General features: G+C 34.9%; 1 protein-coding gene across 5 annotated transcripts in view; it reads right to left on the bottom strand.

Annotated features, from left to right (window-relative positions):
- PIK3C3 (phosphatidylinositol 3-kinase catalytic subunit type 3) overlaps positions 1–19,890 on the bottom strand; it is a 132,597-nt gene that overhangs the window by 79,405 nt on the left and 33,302 nt on the right. For all 5 annotated transcript variants that reach the window (NM_002647.4, NM_001308020.2, XM_047437549.1 and 2 more), the window contains 5 exons: positions 17,872–17,967; positions 15,085–15,156; positions 12,432–12,536; positions 11,696–11,788; positions 3,885–4,070 (listed from right to left, as the gene is read on the bottom strand). In NM_002647.4, coding sequence (NP_002638.2) covers positions 3,885–4,070; positions 11,696–11,788; positions 12,432–12,536; positions 15,085–15,156; positions 17,872–17,967 — 552 coding nt within the window. The remainder of the gene's footprint in view (positions 1–3,884; positions 4,071–11,695; positions 11,789–12,431; positions 12,537–15,084; positions 15,157–17,871; positions 17,968–19,890) is intronic.

Below are 19,890 nucleotides of genomic sequence, written 5' to 3'. Positions count from 1 at the left end.
ACTCCAGTCTAAGTGACATACTTTCCATTCTTCCTGTACTTTCAGTTCCCTTGCTCTTGCTCATATTGCTTTCTCTACCTGGAATATAAACTCCAAACGTAAAAATTCTACATTTCCTTCAACTCAAATGCCACTTCTTCATTAAATTCTAATATGGGATCTGTCTCCTTTTGAACTACACAGCAGTAGGAAATATGATTTAAAAATTTCAAAATAATGCAAGATAAAGAATAGCCATTAAAAAAATCCTAAATCAGATATTAACAAATCAAATTCAGACAGTATTGAGATTTATTTTACAAGTGTATGGCTGATAAAACATTAGGAAATGTATCAGCATACTTACAGTAGATTGATAAAAATGAGACACTATATGATATGAACGAGTGTCAAAAGCGTGTTTGATAATATATAGAAGCCATTCTTGATTTAAACACACAGAAAAAGAAAAGAACAAACAGAGACAGGGAGAAACTTTAAACATAAATGAGAGCATTTGACTGAAACCAGTAAGCAACACACATTAGAGTGAAATACTAAAAGCGTACCCACAATGAGCAACAAGACAAAGATGAATATTGAACTACTTTTATTCACCATTATTACTTGCAGCTTTTAGCTAATGCAATGAAAAACTAGACTGCTTTTCAGCTACCATAATGCTATACCTACAAAATATAAGAAGCAACCTAACATCTATTAGAGTAAGAAAAGTCAATAAAGTGATGAGATAAAACAAATATTGTAACAGAAACAGTTTTCCTTTTAACTAAGAAATGTAAATAAAAGATAAATGGGGTAGGCTAGTTTATAATAGTAACAATAATATAATTGCCAGGGAATAAATCAAAATGTTAAGAATGTATATGATTTTAGTAAAATTGATAAGTGAGTGAATAAAAAATCATATGCCACTGTGATGGAAGATATGTCATAAAGGTGTCAATATTTTTATAATATGCAAACATAATGTAATTCCACTTAAGATTCTGGTGCAGTTTTAAGAAAATGATAAAATTATTCTAAAATTCATGGAAAGAACAAATGTAAAAAAACTGTAAATAAAATTATAAAAAAAAGGAAAGAAGAAAAGCTTTGTCTAGTCATATATTTAAAGTATTATAAAGGAACAAATTTTTTAAAAGTATAAGACAAGGGTAAAAAGACTTATGGGGATTGTCTGCAAAATGTAAAAAGCAGATATCTTTTGGCTCAATAATTATAACGCAAGCAGTTTATTCAAGAATATGATTTTTAAGGCCGGGTGTGGTGGCTCATGCCTGTAATCCCAGCACTTCGGGAGGCCGATGGGGGCGGATCACGATGTCAGGAGATCAAGACCATCCTGGCTAACACGGTGAAACCCCGTCTCTACTAAAAAAGAAATTCAAAAAAGTATCCAGGGGTGGTGGCGGGCACCTGCAGTCCCAGCTACTTGGGAGGCTGAGGCCGTAGAATGGCGTGAACCTGGGAGGCAGAGCTTTCAGTGAGCTGAGATCACGCCACTGCATTCCAGCCTAGGAGACAGAGCAAGACTCCATCTCAAAAAAAAAAAAAAAAAAAAAGAATATGATTTTTAAAACATACCCACCTACCCTCCCCCACACACCTCTTCACTAAAATACAGTTACAGGAAAAGAATGGGAACAACAGCCTATAAAAGAGGCCCAATGGTTAAGTAAATTAACAAAAAAATTCACAGTAAAATATCATGCTGTTATTTAGAAAGAATAAGGCAGATCTACAGTGACAGAGTTCAGGACATGCTAAAATAAAAAGGACAAAATATAGCATGCTGGCATTGAAATTTTTTTTGTTATTCCTAACAAGCCCCTTTCAATCACACCTGAGTTTATGTTCATGAGGTAACTTTTGGAAAGCCCCTAAAGATGGGGGTTGGCTGAGAGAAAAGCCAGCCATGTGATTAGAGGGTGGGACTTTAAGCTCTACCCTCTCAACCTCTGGGGAACAGAGAGAACTGAAGATTGACTTAATCGGCCAGCAGCCAATGATTTAATCAATCATGCCAATGTAATGGCGCTTCCACAAAAACTCTGATTTTTTCTGCTTTTCTCAGAAAAGCACAGCATTCTGAGAGCTTTTGGGTTGGTGAAGAAGAATGCACCCACATGCCAGGAGGGTGCTATACTGCAAACTCCATGGGGACAGAAGCTCCTGTGCTCAGGACCTCAACCCATGTGTCATTTCAACTAGCTGTTCATCTGCAACCTTTAGGATACCCTTCATAATAAATCAATAGTAGTAAGTAATGTTTTCCTGAGTTTTGTGAGTCATTCTGGCAAATTATCATTTCATCTAGCTGTTCTTCTGTATCCTTTAGGATACCCTTCATAATAAATCAATAGTAAGTAATGTTTCCCTGAGTTTTGTGAGTCATTCTAGCAAATTATCACACCCAAGGAGAGGGTTATGGGAGCCCCCTGATTTGTTAAAGCCAGTAGGCCAGAAGTCAGAAGGATGTAATCTAGTAGAGGTTAGGGGGTTGGGGTGGAGAGACTGAGCAGTGTTACAGATGAAACAAGATTGGTTATAAATTGGCAACTGCTGAAGACAGATGAATTATTTGTTGGGGTTCATTATACTATTTACTTTAGTGTTTAAATTTCACCATAATTAAATACACACATACAATGATCAACTTTAATAAATATTTAATTTGCTTCTTGAAATTCAGATACCACTAATTCAAAATGATCTCACTGTCCCCTCCCTCTTAAAAAGGTATTTGATAATAGTTGTTCTATGCGATCGACATTGCTATATATATTGAAGCTTGAGAAGTTACTCCACATCCCATAAAGTACTGCTGGCTAGCATAAACTATTAGGTTATGTTTAAGAACATATTCACCCTATAAAAATTAAGAAAACAAGTTGCTGGATTAGTCTATCTATAAAGAATTATTAAAGCCCAAAATCCAGCAATGCTTTTTGTCAAAAAAGTGTTCTTCCTTCCCTGATGGCCTTACATGAACAGTCATGTGCCACATAACAATGCTTCAGCCAAGACAGGACCACATATATGACAGTAATCCCATAAGATTATAATACTCTGTTTTTACTGTACCTTTTCTATGTTTAGATACACAAATACTTAGCATTGCGTTACAACTGCCTAAGGTATTTAGTACAACAACATGCTATACAGGTTTGTAACCTAGGAGTACACAGCCTCAGTGTGTAGTAGGCTTTACCATCTAGGTTTGGGTAAGTATACTCCATGATGTCTGCACAAAGATGAAATCCCCTAAGGACACATTTCTCAGAACACTTCCCTGTCATTAACTGATAAATAACTGTATATAAATAGCCAGCATATAGTTGGCAATCTTTGCTTTCCAAGGATCCAAAACCCCTTCAGAAAATCTACATATACATATAATTGTCATCAGCTGAAAGTTTAAAAGGCGAGTTTGAAGGAGAGGAAGATGACCATGCATCTCTAAGCTTTAAAGGCCCCAAGGGCTTTTCAAGGCTACAATTAAATGTGGCTTGTTGTATACTGACTGATAGAGGAGATCTGAATTATTCCCTAGCTGGTGCTGCATTAAACCATTTTTCACTAGAATTCCTTCTTCCAGACAGAGCAATACAAGCTCTGCTGCCAGGTAAATGTCCTGGGAGAGACTGTCCTACCACGTAACAGATCAGGAAGTAAATTTTCATTTCACAGAGGAGTCCTCTGAGGCATATTTTAATTTTCCTTCTGAAAATACACCTAGTATATCCTCTTCCCTTCTAAAAATCTCTCTTGCATGTGCACACACTCTCTCTCTCACTCTCACACACACATACACACATAGTTTATAATTAGGCTCTAGTTTAAAATGACCCATTGAAGCAGAATAATAAATAATAATGCACCTCATCATCGGCCTGTCGCAACCGGGCAACAGCATAACGCCTCACAGTTGGGTTGGTGTAATGAGAGGATAACAGCTCCAAGGAGTCCTCTACATCCATCGGCTTCCATTTTCCCAGAAGTTCCAAGGCCTGTTTGGCCTCTTGAGGTAGATCCCAATTAACACATTTCAAGAATTTTGTCAAGGCCTAAAATCAGAAAATATTTAAAAATTAGAAACAGCCTATTTCCTGGGATAGAGAAGTTGACTAGGCAGAGTTCCACTAGGTCCTAATGACAGAGCCACGGAGTCAGTGATAGACTCCTTGTGTAAGCACTAAATGAAGTTATATATATGATCTTATAGAAGCACTGCAGGACAGAAAAAAAGCATGTTCCCTGTATCTTTATATTTTCCAGGCCAAATCATTTGCGAGCACTATGAATTTTTTAATTTGTTTTGGCTTTTCTTCATTTTGCTATTGTTATTTTAAAATACTGCAGGGCTCAAGACATGGAAATAGTTGAGGCATTTCTCACGAACTCTAAGATGCCTTAGAGAAAACCTATATTTTACAACAGAAAATACTGCAACCACTGAGCGAAGGGCCGGAAGCCATGCTAGGGCAGAAATTCCCAATAGCCTCACTCTCGATCACCTCCCTAGAGTATGACCACCGGCTTTCGCAGATACTTAAACATGAAGACTCAAACGATGTGGAGTATGTACGTATCTCTGTGAAGTAACTACTTAAAAAGATAGGCAATCCAACAAAACCTCAAAACAGAAGCATAAAAATGGGTAAGTACAGAAACAGCAGCAAACAGTCTATGATCTGGCTGGTTGTACATCTTTCTGCAACCTCACTCCCTTGAATAGGCAGCACACGGAAGTTTTCACAAGACTGTCAGTTAAGCAAATTGTCTTGGAGTATATCACTCATTGCACAAACAGTAAGTCCTCTTTTAAGAAAGGTACACACTTCTTGGCCAGGTGTGGTGGCTCATGCCTGTAATCCCAGCACTTTCAGATGCTCAGTCAGGAGAATTGCTTGAGGCCAGGAGTTCAAGACCAGCCTGAGCAACACAGCAAGAACTCATCTCTACAAAAACAAATGAAAATAAAGAAAAGCATGTACTTGCTTTCCATAAAAAGCAATACTTATTGCTGGGTCTCAAAGGCAACACTTTCCTGGCTGAACCCAAGATGTTTTCTTCTTCTTTGTCTTCCTCTGTTGCTATTTGTTGAAAAATAGGTAACTTGAAAATGTTAAGACCCCTGCTCTGCCCAACCAAAATCTTTTTATTAGTAAACTAATCAATTCCTCAAGAAAATGTCTACTTGGACAACAAAACATAATTTCTGTTAGTATGACACTAAATGAACCTTCAAACCCATCCCCTAACTTATTCTTGATTTTATTAAGAAAAACGGCACTATGGAGATTGTCTAGTTCAATGCTTAAATTGTATATAACCTCAGCAAAGATAAATGGCTTGCCCATCACCTCAAGATGGTGCATGAGCTAGATGTAGAACTCAGGTCCACCAATTCTCAGCCCCATACTTCTTCCACCAGATGGTGCTTCCTTACCATTAAGGCGCTCCATTCCCTAGTTAGTCCCATTCCCCTTGGAGCCATTACTCTGACAACACTAATCTCCTGAATCCATTCCAGTTCCTTTCAATTATTTCCTAGCAATATCTCCTATATTTGTCTTCAGCCTGATTCTCATTATATGACACATCTGGAGTTGGACAGAGCCTTCTAGCTAAGAAACTAAATACGAGTTTCTCTTCTAATCATTTCATACAAACTCTTAGAAGCTCAAGTTGGAAGTGATCTTAGCACAAATTTCCTATTGTTAGCAGAAATACCCCACAACATGAATGCCAAAAAGAGACCCAATATTTACTTAAGTGACTCCAGGAACTAATTTCCAAAATAGCCATTATATTCATAGAAAGCTAAGCCATTTTTGTTTTGTTTTGATTTTAACTATAATGAACCAAAAGACAAAAATGTCTTCATATTGCTTTTTCTAATTGGTTAGTTTCATTCTTTGTAGAGAATGGGAGTAAATTTAGCCCCATACGATGTGGACAACCTTTCCAATATTTGAAGATAATTGCCATACTGTTACAAAGTGGTTTCAACTAGATGATAGGACATTCTAATTTGTAAATAAACAAATAACCTTGGCTTCTTTCTCAAAACATTTCATTGCTACCACTTACCACAATGCAAACCCATTTCATTAACCTCTCATTGCCCTTCCATGCTTCAGCCCAGTTAACTTACATTAACAATGTCTCTCTAACCCCTGTGTACATTCCTCCCATATACTCTTCATCAAACAGGGATATCATCTCCTCTAAAGTCATCTTGTTGAAAGTTTTACAGGAAGTTTTCGGCAACTTTCAGCTATTCCTTTAGAAGCTGGCTCAATTTTACTACTGTCATTTAAATGATGTTTTTCTAACTGCCAAATGTTTTTGTGGGCATTTTTATCTCTATAACTGGAGTCTGCATTCCCCAAGGACAGCTGTCCACTTCCTCTACACCTCCTGCACACCATTTAGTATAATGCTCCCTTTCTGTATAGAACACAGATTGCCCTACTAACTTATTCCATGAATTTATTTTCCACTTCTAAAACGTATTTCTAGGTTGAATGTGGAAACAAAGCAATACTTCTTAAATAATGACAGTGAAAGCTTTTCCATTTCACAGTACATCAGCAGTCTTAATAGAAATGTGCGGGTATGTACTTATTATAAGCAAATCTTGTAGCATGCCGATGTACTCAATTCAATAACTGAAACAATCTAAAACTTAGATTCTCAGATTTATAGACTTATTAGCAAGATTTATGAAGTATGCTGCTGCCAAAAAACATAAGGCACTGTACAAAGAATTTCACAACTTTTTAATGTTAAATGTTACAAATGTAAACAAGGAGCCAACAGAATGAAGAAGAAAACAAGGAGTCAAAGAATAAGAAAGACAAAAAGTAAGAATTTGAAGACAGCAATAATAATGGCCTTTTTAAATGACCCTAGGTCTTTTAAAGATGCTTTACTGATCCATGTAAAAATGTAAAGAGAATTGTAAAGAGCAATTCTCTCTCTGTGTGTAACTTCCACAGATTACTGGAGAGCACAGGCTGTAGAGCCAGGGTGTTTGGGTTCCAATTATAATTCCTGGCTCTATCAATTATTAGCTGACTAAATTGAAGCACATTAACTTTTAAGAGACCTTTTTCATAGGCTTGTGGTGAAGACTAAGTTAATGAATGTAAAATGTTTGTAACAGTATCCTATAGTAAATAGTTTATTATCAGTTATTATTTTTATTCTATTTCGATGTTGACATCAAATGTTAGCTTTACTATATGTGTTACTATGTTTTATTCATTTGATCTGAAAATCACCAGTTGTCTCCTATTCTTAGAATCACAATCACCCCAGAACTGAAAATACTATATCTCATATATATATTCCTAATTTAAACTTCTACCAACTAAATTCTCAGAAATGTCTATTTTGCTGCTTTTCCAATGCTTTTGATTCCAAATACTCAAACATGAAAACATCTCATTCGTTTCTTCCCACTTGCGATATATCCTTACTGATATGGTGTGGCTGTGTCCCCACCCAAATCTCATCTTCAGCTCCCACGTGTTATGAGAGGGACATGGTGGGAGGTAACTGAATCACGTGGGCAGGTCTTTCTCATGCTGTTCTCATGATAGTGAGTAAGTCTCATGAGATCTGATGGCTATATAAGGGGGAGTTTCCTTGCACAAGCTCCCTTTGCTTGCTGCCATCCACGTAAGACATGACTTGCTCCTCCTTGCCTTCCATCATGATTGTGAGGCCTCCCCAGTCACATGAAATTGTAAGTCCATTAAAATTCTTTTTCTTCTCAGTCTCAGGTATGTCTTTATCAGAAGTGTGAAAGCGGAATAATACAGTAAATTGGTACCAAAAGTGGGGTATGAACACACACGTATATAAATCCATCAGGTTCAGGCCTAACCCCTGGCCATTGTCTCCAAAGTCAACTTACTTGTATAGCTTCTTCTCCATCCCTTGCCCTCCAAAACTGTTCTCTAAGTCAGTATATGATTCTCCTAATTATGTCACTTTTTTTCATTTTCTGCTCTGCTCCAATCTACCCTAGTTTGTACTCCTTAAAATATCACTTGTTAGGCCAGCGTGCTGACTCACACCTGTAATCCCAGCGCTTTGGGAGGCTGAGGCAGGTTGATCACCTGAGGCCAGTAGTTCAAGACCAGGCTGACCAACATGGTGAAACCCTGTCTCTACTAAAAAGACAAAATTAGCCGGCGTGGTGGTGCACGCCTGCAATCCCAGCTACTTGGGAGGCTGAGACAGGAGAATCACTTGAACCTGGGAGGGGGAGGTTGCAGTGAGCCGAGATCATGCCATTGCAGTCCAGCCTGGGCAACAAGAGTGAAACTCTGTCTCCAAAGAAAAAAAGAGAAGTACAATATCACTTGTTAACACACATTTTCCTGCTTTAGTCGTTTCTTGTCGCCAGTAAAATTGAATTCCTAAGGGTATAATTTGAGGCTCGTCACAATCTGATGCCATCTTTTCTATTTCATAACCATTCATGCAAAACTGTTTCCTGAACCTAACAGCCTACCTTACTCATGCTTTCCTGCCCCATAAAAAAATGACCACCAAATAAAAAATGCTATCAAAGTCTGCTCACACTTTAAGGGCAATCTTTGTTCTGTGAAACCTTCCTCATGTCACAGCACACTGATCTGGTCATCCTCCACATTTATATTATATTAATTACTTATATGTTTATTAAGAGAGTGACCCTTAATCAATTACTATGCTATACTTCCTAATTTTAATTATGTGTAAATATCCTTACCCCAAAACAATTTTAATTTATATGAATACAAGGACATGATACCTGAAAGCTCATAGTCTTATATAATGCTAGGCCAAGAGGTGATAATGAATACTTGCTGAACTGAATTCATTTATCCCATGGGTCACCATCAATTTCTTGTCAGGAGACACAAATATGATGATTGTCCTCATGTCACTGTCTCAGAAACAGCCTTATAAGAACACTCAGTGCATCACTATTATCTTCACTATACATGACTCTTCCAACTGCTTTTTTCCCCCAAGCATAATCAAAAGGCATGGAGTTAATTTAAATTAGTATTTTTATAAGAAAAAAGTCCATTGTAAAAGCAGGTTGGTGCAAAAGTAATTGCAGTTTTTGTCAAATAGTTTTGAAAAATTACAGTATTCATATTTCAGGTTCCACAGAAATGGGTCACTTCCTACATGCTATAAACTGTGAATTTGAAAATACTTCATAAATTTAAATGGTAACAAATTTAATTGAACAAAGTTATTACTATGAACTTTCTGGGTGAAACATCAAGTCCTGACTAGAAGGTTTTCATCTGAAATACTTAGGTCATTAAGGAAAAAAAAAGGGGGTAGAAAGACAAAATTTAATTAAAAAATAAAAAGTGTGACTTTGTGAGAACCAATTTCCTCCAATTTGTTTTCTGAGCACTGCCTTCTCTCTAGAAAAGCTTTTCAGCCCCAGGGCCCAAATGTCAAGTAACCTAAATCATAATTTCTGAGAGTCTGACGCTAAAAGAATTTCTTTCTGTAAATAAATTAATGGGTGGAGTATGAGAGTATCCGTTTTTCACAAAACCCATCTGAAATTATTACAAGGTTACAAATGTGGCTGTGTGAATAATTCCTTTGGTCACTTCAAGGCCTATATATATTTGGTTTACTCCATAGTGACTTCTGAACATTAAAACATATCGTTCACTCTACTCTAGTGGTCAGAAGAATCCTATAACATATCCTGAGAATTGAAGTTTCATCACTCACCTTTCGAAAACTTGAAATCAACTAGTTAAATGAAACTTGTCACACACTTTATATCACTTGAACATTTTATTTCTTTTGCACATATCTAGAAGTAATTGAATTTCGGTGGGAAGTGACTACTTGTTTAAACAAACAATTTTTCTTGCAAACCTTTCTATCTAAAAAAGTTCTGCTCTGTAAATCTACTCCTGTATGCTTTTTAAACCTATACATTCTAACAGGTTCAATTCAATATCTAGCTGTGTATTTAAGACGACACTGAGCTGCATTCAAGATGCAGTTTCTGTGACCAAGGTTATTCTTCATTTAACACAGTATCATGACACTAACTCAATCTTTTAATAAAACACAAATCACAAACCTGTGTTTCTGTTAGTGAATATTTCCTTTTCTTCAGTGATGAAGAGAATTACACTCAAAGCTATAGTAAATTGAAAATTCTTCTCTCATTCTTATTATGGATATAAAGGAGAATAAATATGATTCATTTACAAAGAATTTCCTAAGGCATCAATAAATGACAAAGCAGAAAAGCTGAAGAGTTAAGATGAGCTGTAACTGGATTTTTATCTTTACTTTAGAAACTAAAGAAAGGACATTTGGTTCAGAAAAACAACTTAAAATAGTAAAGACCATATCACAAGATTATAAAACATATCCATTCATTCTCAAATAAATATGTAACAGCTTCCTGAACAGATATTAATTTTCCTAATGCTTCTCTGCTCTTCCTCTAATGCATTTCAGGGTGTCTGCTAAGGCATGTATATGATGTTGAAAATGTTTTCTCTATAATTCTCTTTTCTACGTCTTCACTGACTTTCTTTTCTTCTAATTCGTAGATGCAAGCATATCAAGAGGCAGCATGTATAAGCTTTGTGAGTCTGCACAGGTCCCCTAATCTTTCTGAGGCTCAAGTTTCCTCACCTGTAGAACAGTTACAATAATACATACATTGTGGGGTTGTTATGGGATTTAAAGAATTCCTGGTACATAGTATCTGTTTAAAAAATGCTAGCTATTATTATTATACCTTAAGAGGTACCCCTTGGCTCTCTGTTTTAAGATTTTACAGACTATTTTAAAAACTAGGAGACAAAGTTCACAATCACTGATTGTCTCATATTAAATATAAGAAAACTAAAGCTTATACAGGCAAAGTAATTTGCCTGTAGTCAAAAAGCTTCTTAGGGGCAACAGTAAGACTCAAGACTAAGTGTCCAAAGACTTCAGGTTAGTGATGACTACTTTACCACAATTCTCTCTCCAGAAACCTTATCCACTCCATGGTTTTATTACAGGAAGCAAATGTCTAGCTTTGAGCTTTGACCTACCCGTTATCCTGTATGCCAACCTGTATGCTACTCCACCAACTGAATTCCCACATCTCAAATTATATTTCTCATACTCTCTCTCCAGCCACATCTCGTCTAGAATTCTGTAGTTTCGTTATTATAAAAGCATACGTATTTTCCTAGTCACCCAGGTTCAAAGAGGTAAGAAGAAGAGAACCAGCATTTACTCTGCACCTACTATGCACCAGATACTCTACCAGGTTACTTACCTGTATTATCTTACTTGTGAAGGAGAACTGTCGCCATTAGAATAATAAGGACACCATGCTGCCAAAGTAAGTTGCCTCATCCTACCAAACAAACGTAAAATGTACTTCTGGAAAACGAACCCAAGTCTCTCTGACTTCAAAACCCATTCAGACATTGTCTATGAGTCAACAAACAGGTACAGGTGTCTTTGTATGCAGAATTTCATAATTTTTTTAAAAAATGGAGTCTCATATATACTGCTCTGTAACTTTTCTTTAAAGTGACAATAACAATTTCCATGGCATTTTCCTCATCTTGATCATTAATAACAAAGTTGGTAGATAAATTTGATATATGAAAATATTCAAGACACTCACTTTTTCTTGATTCGTAAGATAATATCTAAACTTCCAAACAAGATCTTGTTCTTCATATGTAAGTTGCTTGGTTGGTGGATAACTCACAATAATCTAAAACAAAAAAAGAAAAAGAACTAATTTTGTCAACAATACATGTCCTATATATTTCCATTTCACTTAATATTTTTCATTTATTTAAATAATTCTATACTACAATTATTACACAAGCAAGGAAAATGTAAACTCAGTCAAGTAGGCCTTAAATTTGTTATAATTATGTGTCCAAAATGCAGTTTAAAGGAGAAGAAAAGAAGATAAAGTCATATTCCATAGGAAAATATTTAACTGGAGAGTTCATTTAATTCAACCAGAAACAAAACCTAGCAAAATAACAACGTCTTCTACCAGAAAAAGGAAAAATGTGCACACAATAAACTCTTTTAAAGTCAATGCATACAACAAGGCATGTGTACACACTAAGTCCTCTCAGGCAATGTCTTAGGGCCAGCTTCTAAGAATACTACTGACATGAAAGTATACAGTATATGCAGTTCTGTCTCCAGAGATAACACATTTATGGAAAGCCCCAAATGATAACAGAACTGCTGATCTGTGAAATTATGAACATGATGTAGGATTCATCAACCTGGAGAAAATGTGCATCTAAATAATTTTTAAGTGAGGTGATAGCTATCAGTTTCAACCAGAACACCCATTTAACTATTTTTAAATTAATATTTCATAATTCTCTTACATTTAACTGATCTCTCGTGGCAGCATTGGGTTTCAGATCGTGGTCAGAAGGTCCACTTCTTAAACTCCGGGCAAGCTTGTGGTGTTTGCTCTCAACTAAATTCTCCTACAAATTATTTTAAAATATTGACAATGTAAACTTCACCAAAAGGAAATTTCAAAAGCTATTCATAAATAGAAAAGGTACTTAGGAGCATTTAATAATATCTAATGTTTTGTTCTGATACAACTTTAGCAGTCTTCTACATATCTTAAAAATATGTATCCTTCTCAAGACTGGGAAACTAAGTATGCCTTAAACTCCACTAGTCCCATAATACACACGTCATTACAGCTTCTTAAAACATCGTCCCTTCACTCTCCACATATTCAAGGTTTCCATATCCTCTAACCAATCAAATATCACCATCACTGTAAAATCTTCCCTGACAACATAGACTAAAGCATTCCTTCCTCCTGTCAGCTACTAATGACCTTGTGATGTCACTGTATTATCATCTTAGCAGTTATTTAAGCTATCAGTTACTGAGGGCAAGGACAATAATCACAACGCTTGAATATACACATCTGGTGCTATTTTACCCATGGACAAAATTATTAGTTTTAACCATACTGTCATTGCCTAAAACAAGATATAAATTTATATTATTTATTTTTTATTGCATGTGTGAATTGTCTATGTCATATTCCTAATTTTTTTAATGGCTTTATGGTCCTTTGTCCTTCATTTTTAAGAGTTCTTTATGTATCAGCCTTAATATATCTGTAATGTATGTAGTTAAGTATTTTCTCCCAGTTTGTTAACTGTCTTTTGGCTTTGTTGGTCTCTTCAGCCATGTAATTTTTAAAATGTAGTTAAATTTATCAATCATTTATTTTATTGCCTCTGGATTCTGAGTCACAGTTAAAAAGTCTTTCCCTACACTGACAGTAAAATACTAGTGTGGTTTCTTTTTTTGAGACAGGATCTTGCTCTGTTGACCAAACTGGAGCACACTGGCATGAATATAGCTCACTGCAGCCTTGACCTCCTGAGTTCAAGCAATCCTCCTACCTCAACCTCCCAAGTAGCTGGGACTACAGGTACGTGCCACTACCTGGCTAATTTATTTTATTTTTTTGTAGAGATGGGGTCTCCCTCAGTTTCCCTGACTGGTCTAGAATTCATGGGCTCAAGTGATCCTCCTGCCTTGGCCTCTCAAAAGTGTTAAGATTACAAGCATGAGCCACCATGTTTGGCCTAGTTTCATTTCCTAACATTTAGATTACAGATCCATTTGGAGTTTATTCCTATGTATGGCATGAGTTATGGATATAATTTTATTATTTTTTTCCAAATTAATTCCATTCCTCAGTATTATGACTTAGTGAAGAAATGCCACCTATATCATATACTAGATTTCCATGCATACTTGGATGTATTTCTGGGCTTTTAATTCTGTTCAACCAGTATATTGGTTTACACATGTGTGTCACTACCACATTATTGTAATTATAGTCTGTTTTATTGTCAGATACAGCTGTATATCATCTCAGTCCCACCCAAAGTTTACATTTAAAATGTGTTTCTGCATTTAACAAATAACTATAACTGCAGGCTGAACTGAATTTCTTCATACTTAGTGTGTGCTCTGAATATCAAAAGTGTAAAATATAATTTGATTTTATACTGAAAATTCAGTGCCAATTTGGGATTAACTGGATTCTACTATACTATGCATAGGAACTATCAAGGTCTTTAGAATGTTCCTACCAGATCCGCAAGTGGCCTTTTCTTTTTAACTTTTTATACTCTACTTTCCCTGCTGCCCATCTCTTCCTTTGATATTAGGCCATCAGCCGTTCCTGCTTTCATGACCTGTACTTATCTCAATCATCATGTTTTCATCATCCAATGTCCCAATTTTAATCCACTTTGGTCTGATGAGGAAGGTAACTAATCTAATTAGAAATGTATAAAATTAGAACAAAAAGAGTTGGAATGATGTAAATGAGCTGTAACTGCAAAAATCATGGTAACTATCGTGCTGCTAAAAGGATTTTGTGCCTACAAGTTTGTAATTCTAAAGTCATCTAATTAAACCTCTTTTGCATTGTATGAATTCTTATCCTCATATCCCTGAAAGCTATCATCTCAAAAATTCGTTAATAAGAAGGTATCCCACCATCATCCAAGTTACCACGTTCCAAATTGAACAGTTCTAGGGCTACAGCAATCTTCCCTATTTTCCAACAAATTGGTCTCCCTAAAACTTTCACGCATTCATCCTGGTTATAGAATCCTCCTGTAACAGGCAAATTCTCCTTCTGTATGATGGCAATCTTTCAAATACCAGTTCTGCCAAGTCTTCACTTCAAGATTATATACCCCCAACCTGAAGAAAAAAAAAAAGAGTATACTGCCTAGCTCTTTCAGCAATTCAAACAAAGTGGATGCCCAACCCTACTCTACCCTTACCTTAGTTTTAAGATGTTAATATTCCTCATAAAATTCCATCAGAAACAGTGCCTAGATGCTAAAGTGAATTTATGAATCACTTTTAGGTAACGGAGGCAGTTATATATTACTTTGTTTAAAGAAAGTACATGATGTGGCTAACTCACAATTACTCTGAAGAAAAGTACTTTCATAAAAAAATTGCACAATAACTTACCATAGACATCTGGGGGTCAGGAACTTTCACTAATTCAAAACTTGTTAAAATTGGAGATGATTCATCACCGTCCTAGATTACAGAGCAATAATTTTTTAAAAAAAGAAATTTAATACAATAGGAAGCAGTATATGATGTACACATCAATGTATTTTAATTCTATTTGATGAACATCATTCTTCCCTTTAAAGAAATCCTTATCTTCTTCTAACAATATTATAAAATGCATGTCCACTTTGTACCTCTCCTTGGTTGATTATGAAATTGTTTTGAGAAAAACTCTAACAAAATTCTTACTAAAGTTTTAGAGGTATGAGGTCTGGAAATTAGATTGTTTCGAGTTGTTCCTTTTTTTTAAACTTCGTTCATATAATGACAGTGGATTTTTAAAAACGTGCTAATTTTCAAACTCAGAACAAGAAACCACAGACTATATGTAAAATGTGGCACAATGGATGTGTTGCATCATTTGCAAAAACTAAGTGGATGTTGGTAATTTTTCAAGGTATCATAATGGAGATCCATTCAAAGAAGCAGAATTTTAAGTGTAGGGTTAATATTACTCAAATTTACACACAGCTAGAGAATCAACAACGTTGTTTCTCAAAGGGACACCTGCTCAACATAATCTAAACTTGAATAATAAAATCAATCAATCAGTTTTTCAGAAATAAAGCCATCCTATTTTGTTGGTATTATCACCTTTGAAGAATGTTGGCTTTTATTTTTCTCCAATGTGAGAAAGGTAATTCAACATAAAAATGTCACTGCCAAATATACTGGAAAAAGGCTAAACTAATTAAGGTCAAAATTCACTTTCTCATGACTGTATATTTAGCATCAAGCTTTTCTGTCAATTTCCAAATGCTAGTATGTTTTCAATTTTAAATATGGGCAACAAACTCAAGAGAGACTGAAAGCGGGGAAGCACTGTAACTTTACTTCAGTTCAGTAATTGAGTCTTACAGAAAACCACAAATTCCCACAGCCGTTGTTTAACAGGCTTGTTCTCAGTCACAACACCAGAAAACACATTTATCAGCCTAGCTGTGACAAGTAATCTTCACTAAGGCTATCTGTCACAAGACAGGTGACAAGAAAGTCTATTTCCATTAGATTCAATACACTGGCCCAGCAATCTTTACACTAAGTGGAAATATGACAGGGTGGGTAGACAGGCATTAATTTATGAGCAATTTTCAGGAAGTGGTAGAAAGGGGTCAAGAACCTTTTCAAAAATACTTGAAATTCTTCTAATTTCTATTCTGTTATTATTTCATCTGCTATCAAGCTGTCTTTCAAAGGATCCTTCACATCTCCAGTGTTTGAAAGTACCATCTCCATTAGCATGTTTTTGCAATACAAACTCTATATGGGCAGAAAATACTGCCTTTAATGAAATGACATATAGTTTAAAATGTAAAATATGATTTTATTAAAATGCACTGGTGACAGAACAGTTTCACTCACATTTCCCTTGTTTTGATGTATTTTTTCTAATAAATTAATAAACAATGTTAAATAATCTATCCAAGGAGTACCATTTATAAAATAAAAGGCAGAAACAAGTTAACACTTCCTAGTCTTTCACTAACGTGAAAGGGATATGAGTTAAAGACAAAAATATGAACAGTAACTTGAAAAAAGATCATAAATAAACTGTAAAAACTCAAACCTTCATTATGAAAACCTTTCAAATAGTAATTTATAAAAGTATACATATTTTAAAAATCACTTGTGACAGCTTTAATAAACAACAATAAAATGTAAATTTAATTTAAAAGGACTGCTTCTAATGAACAAATACACTGCATATCAGCTTGGTCATATGCTAGAAGAAATATTAATCTACTACTATGCCATGTATCAAAAGTCTGTCATCATTTATGCTGATTTAACATTTGTTGACTATTAACACAATAATAGAAGATACTTTATGTGGTTTCAAACTATGCATACATTTTTTTTTATATTTATTTTAAATAAAGATGGAGTCTCGCCATGTTGCCCAGGCGGGTCTCAAACTCCTGGGCTCAAGTAATCTTCCCACGCAGCCAACCACAGTGCTGGAATTACAGGCATGAGCCACCACACCTGGCCTGCATACAATTATTTTCTGTAGTACTTAAATATATAATTATTTCTGTAGTACTTAAATGAAGCACCTTCTACAAGCATTTAAGGAAGATACTTTCAAGTAGGTACATAATAAACACAGAACTACTTTCTGTAGCATAATGGGCAGAACAAAGCAAATCTATAACTGCATATTTGTTATTACCCAGCCTGATGGTAAAATTGTCTTAATTTTGCATCTATTGTACAAATGGACATTTCTGAAGTATTTCATAAGTATACTTCAGTGAGGGCCACATATAGACATTACACATACACTCAAATAACAAACAGACTCTTAACTTTCAATAAATAGCCTACCACTTAGAAATATAATTTCCCCCTTTCATTTTTTAAATAAATAATATTAGTAAATGAAGCCATTACTTAGTGTCCTACTTGCCAATTTGCAGAACAATTAATCACAAAGTTTTTAATCACTTGCATACTTATTGAATTCTGTAACCCAGAACTGCATTACATGAGTGATAGGCTTTTGTAATCTTGTTGTAGTTATATGATTTGATTTCTGTATACATAAACAGCTGCTGCTGACAGCTGTCTGCTGCTACCCTGCAACCAAATAATTCATCCCAGCAGGAACAACAATATTTTTTTAATGTTTCCTCTCCCCTCTACTTTAGAGACCAAAAACAGTTCCAAGGGAAATACCTTTTCATAATAAACAATACCATATTCCTTATCATCACACTTGACACATCGAAATTCAACCATCAGGTACATGAAATTAGAACTTCGTTTTTCACTCTGAAAAAAAAAATGATTTTCATGAAAAATGATTATTTTCAACATTCTCTTAAAGGATCAGTATGTATCATTTTTCCTAATTCAGTAATACATGTATCTATCAAATACAAGTCAAAACATAACACATTTTTATTTTATTATATACATGTAGTGTGTTTTACACAGCACTATTATTTTATTATAGACAGCACTACTGTTTATTCAGTAGTGTCTACTATGCACTTATAACTGCTTTCTCAAATTTAACATTTTTGGTTTATTCAGTAGTTTGGGTTTATAATCTTGAAGGTATTTTGCACACATGTTCATGAGAACTATTTTATTTCAAAAATAAAAAGAATGGTTTTTCCTTCTAACAATTTTAAGCTAAGTTCACCCTTAACTTATATGACTAAACCATAGAAATCAATATGTGTAACAAAAATCAAAAGGAAGAAAAGTGTGCAACCTAAGAACAGAGGCCATTTGAGTTTACCAAGTATAGCCTTTACAAGTTTTTCGCAATTTATAAATGGTCTTAAAATGATTTGTCATTTGTAAATTTTTATCCACACTTTAAATATACTGCGGAATAATTACTTCTTGTTCCAACATAAAAAAAAGTTATTTATATAATTGTGTCCCCTTTAAAATAAAAAAGCAAACATGGTCACATGTCACTTAACGACAGGTGTACATTCTGAGAAATGCATCATTAAGCAATTTAGTCGTGTAAACATCATGAAATGTAAACACACAAATCTAGATGGTATAGCCTATAGCACACCGAGGTTATATGGTGTAGCATATTACCCCTAGGCTACAAACTTGTTACTTCAGGTTACTGTACTGAATACTGTGGGCAACTGTAACACAATAGTTAGGTATCTGTGTATCTAAACATACCTAAAAGAGAAAAAGTACAGTAAAAATAAAGTACTATAATCTTACGGAACCATCATTGTACATGTGATCTGCAGTTGACTGAAATGATATGATGAGGCACATGACTATACTAAGGTGATGATAAAGTGAAAATACAATGAAGTCTAAGCGGGTGATTAGCCTTGACCCAAAACACCTTTATAAATGGCTTTACATCTAAAACATAAAATCACCAGGCATGGTGGCTCACACTTGTAATCCTAGCACGTTGGGAGGTGGGAGGACTGCTTGAAGCCAGGAGTCTGAGACTATCCTGGGCAATATAGCCAGACCCTGACTCTACAAAAAATTTTAAAAATATTAGCCAGGCCTGTAGTCCTAGCAACTTGGGAAGCTAATCAGGAGGACTGCCTGAGTCCAGAAGTTTGTGGCTGCACTAAGCATACCAGTGTACTCCAGCCTGGGTGACACAGCAAGACCTTGTCCCCCAAAAAAAACAAACAAAAAAAAGAAATAATAAATGATAAAGGTCTGAAGAGGTTACTTAAATTCTTCAGCTTTATGAAGCATATTATAGTCTATTTTGTAATAGTAATGCGGTGGTAATGGTAATTTCTTTCAAAGAAATTAAAATGTAAAAATATGAAAAAGGCTGGGCAAACTCTAACATTACGTTTTCTATACCCAGTGATATCTAAGTTTAAGAAGAGAAAAATATAAGTTAGTATTATGAGTAAACTCTTTTTGAAATGTGACTATTATAAAAATTAAAAAGGCTTCCTTCCAGTTTATGTATATAGGAATGTATTATGAATAAATTTAGAAAAGGTACCAAATACGAGAATTGAATATAAATGTTGTTAAACATCACTACCTTTATTTTAAAATAAAAGAATAATGCTAAAATCTAACTTTTGTAATAGTTCACTGTAAAATTAAAAACTTCTCTCTTTCTACCTGCTGAAAATTATTTGGAGAATATAAATTAAGTAAGTTGTGCCTTATGGTCATTATAAATTAGACAAATCACAAATTGATGTCCTTCTCTCCTAATTTGAT

The sequence above is a fragment of the Homo sapiens genome, chromosome 18, assembly GCF_000001405.40.
Source record: "Homo sapiens chromosome 18, GRCh38.p14 Primary Assembly".
Taxonomy (NCBI): Eukaryota; Metazoa; Chordata; class Mammalia; order Primates; family Hominidae; genus Homo; species Homo sapiens.
This window is presented reverse-complemented; position numbering and strand designations above follow the sequence as displayed.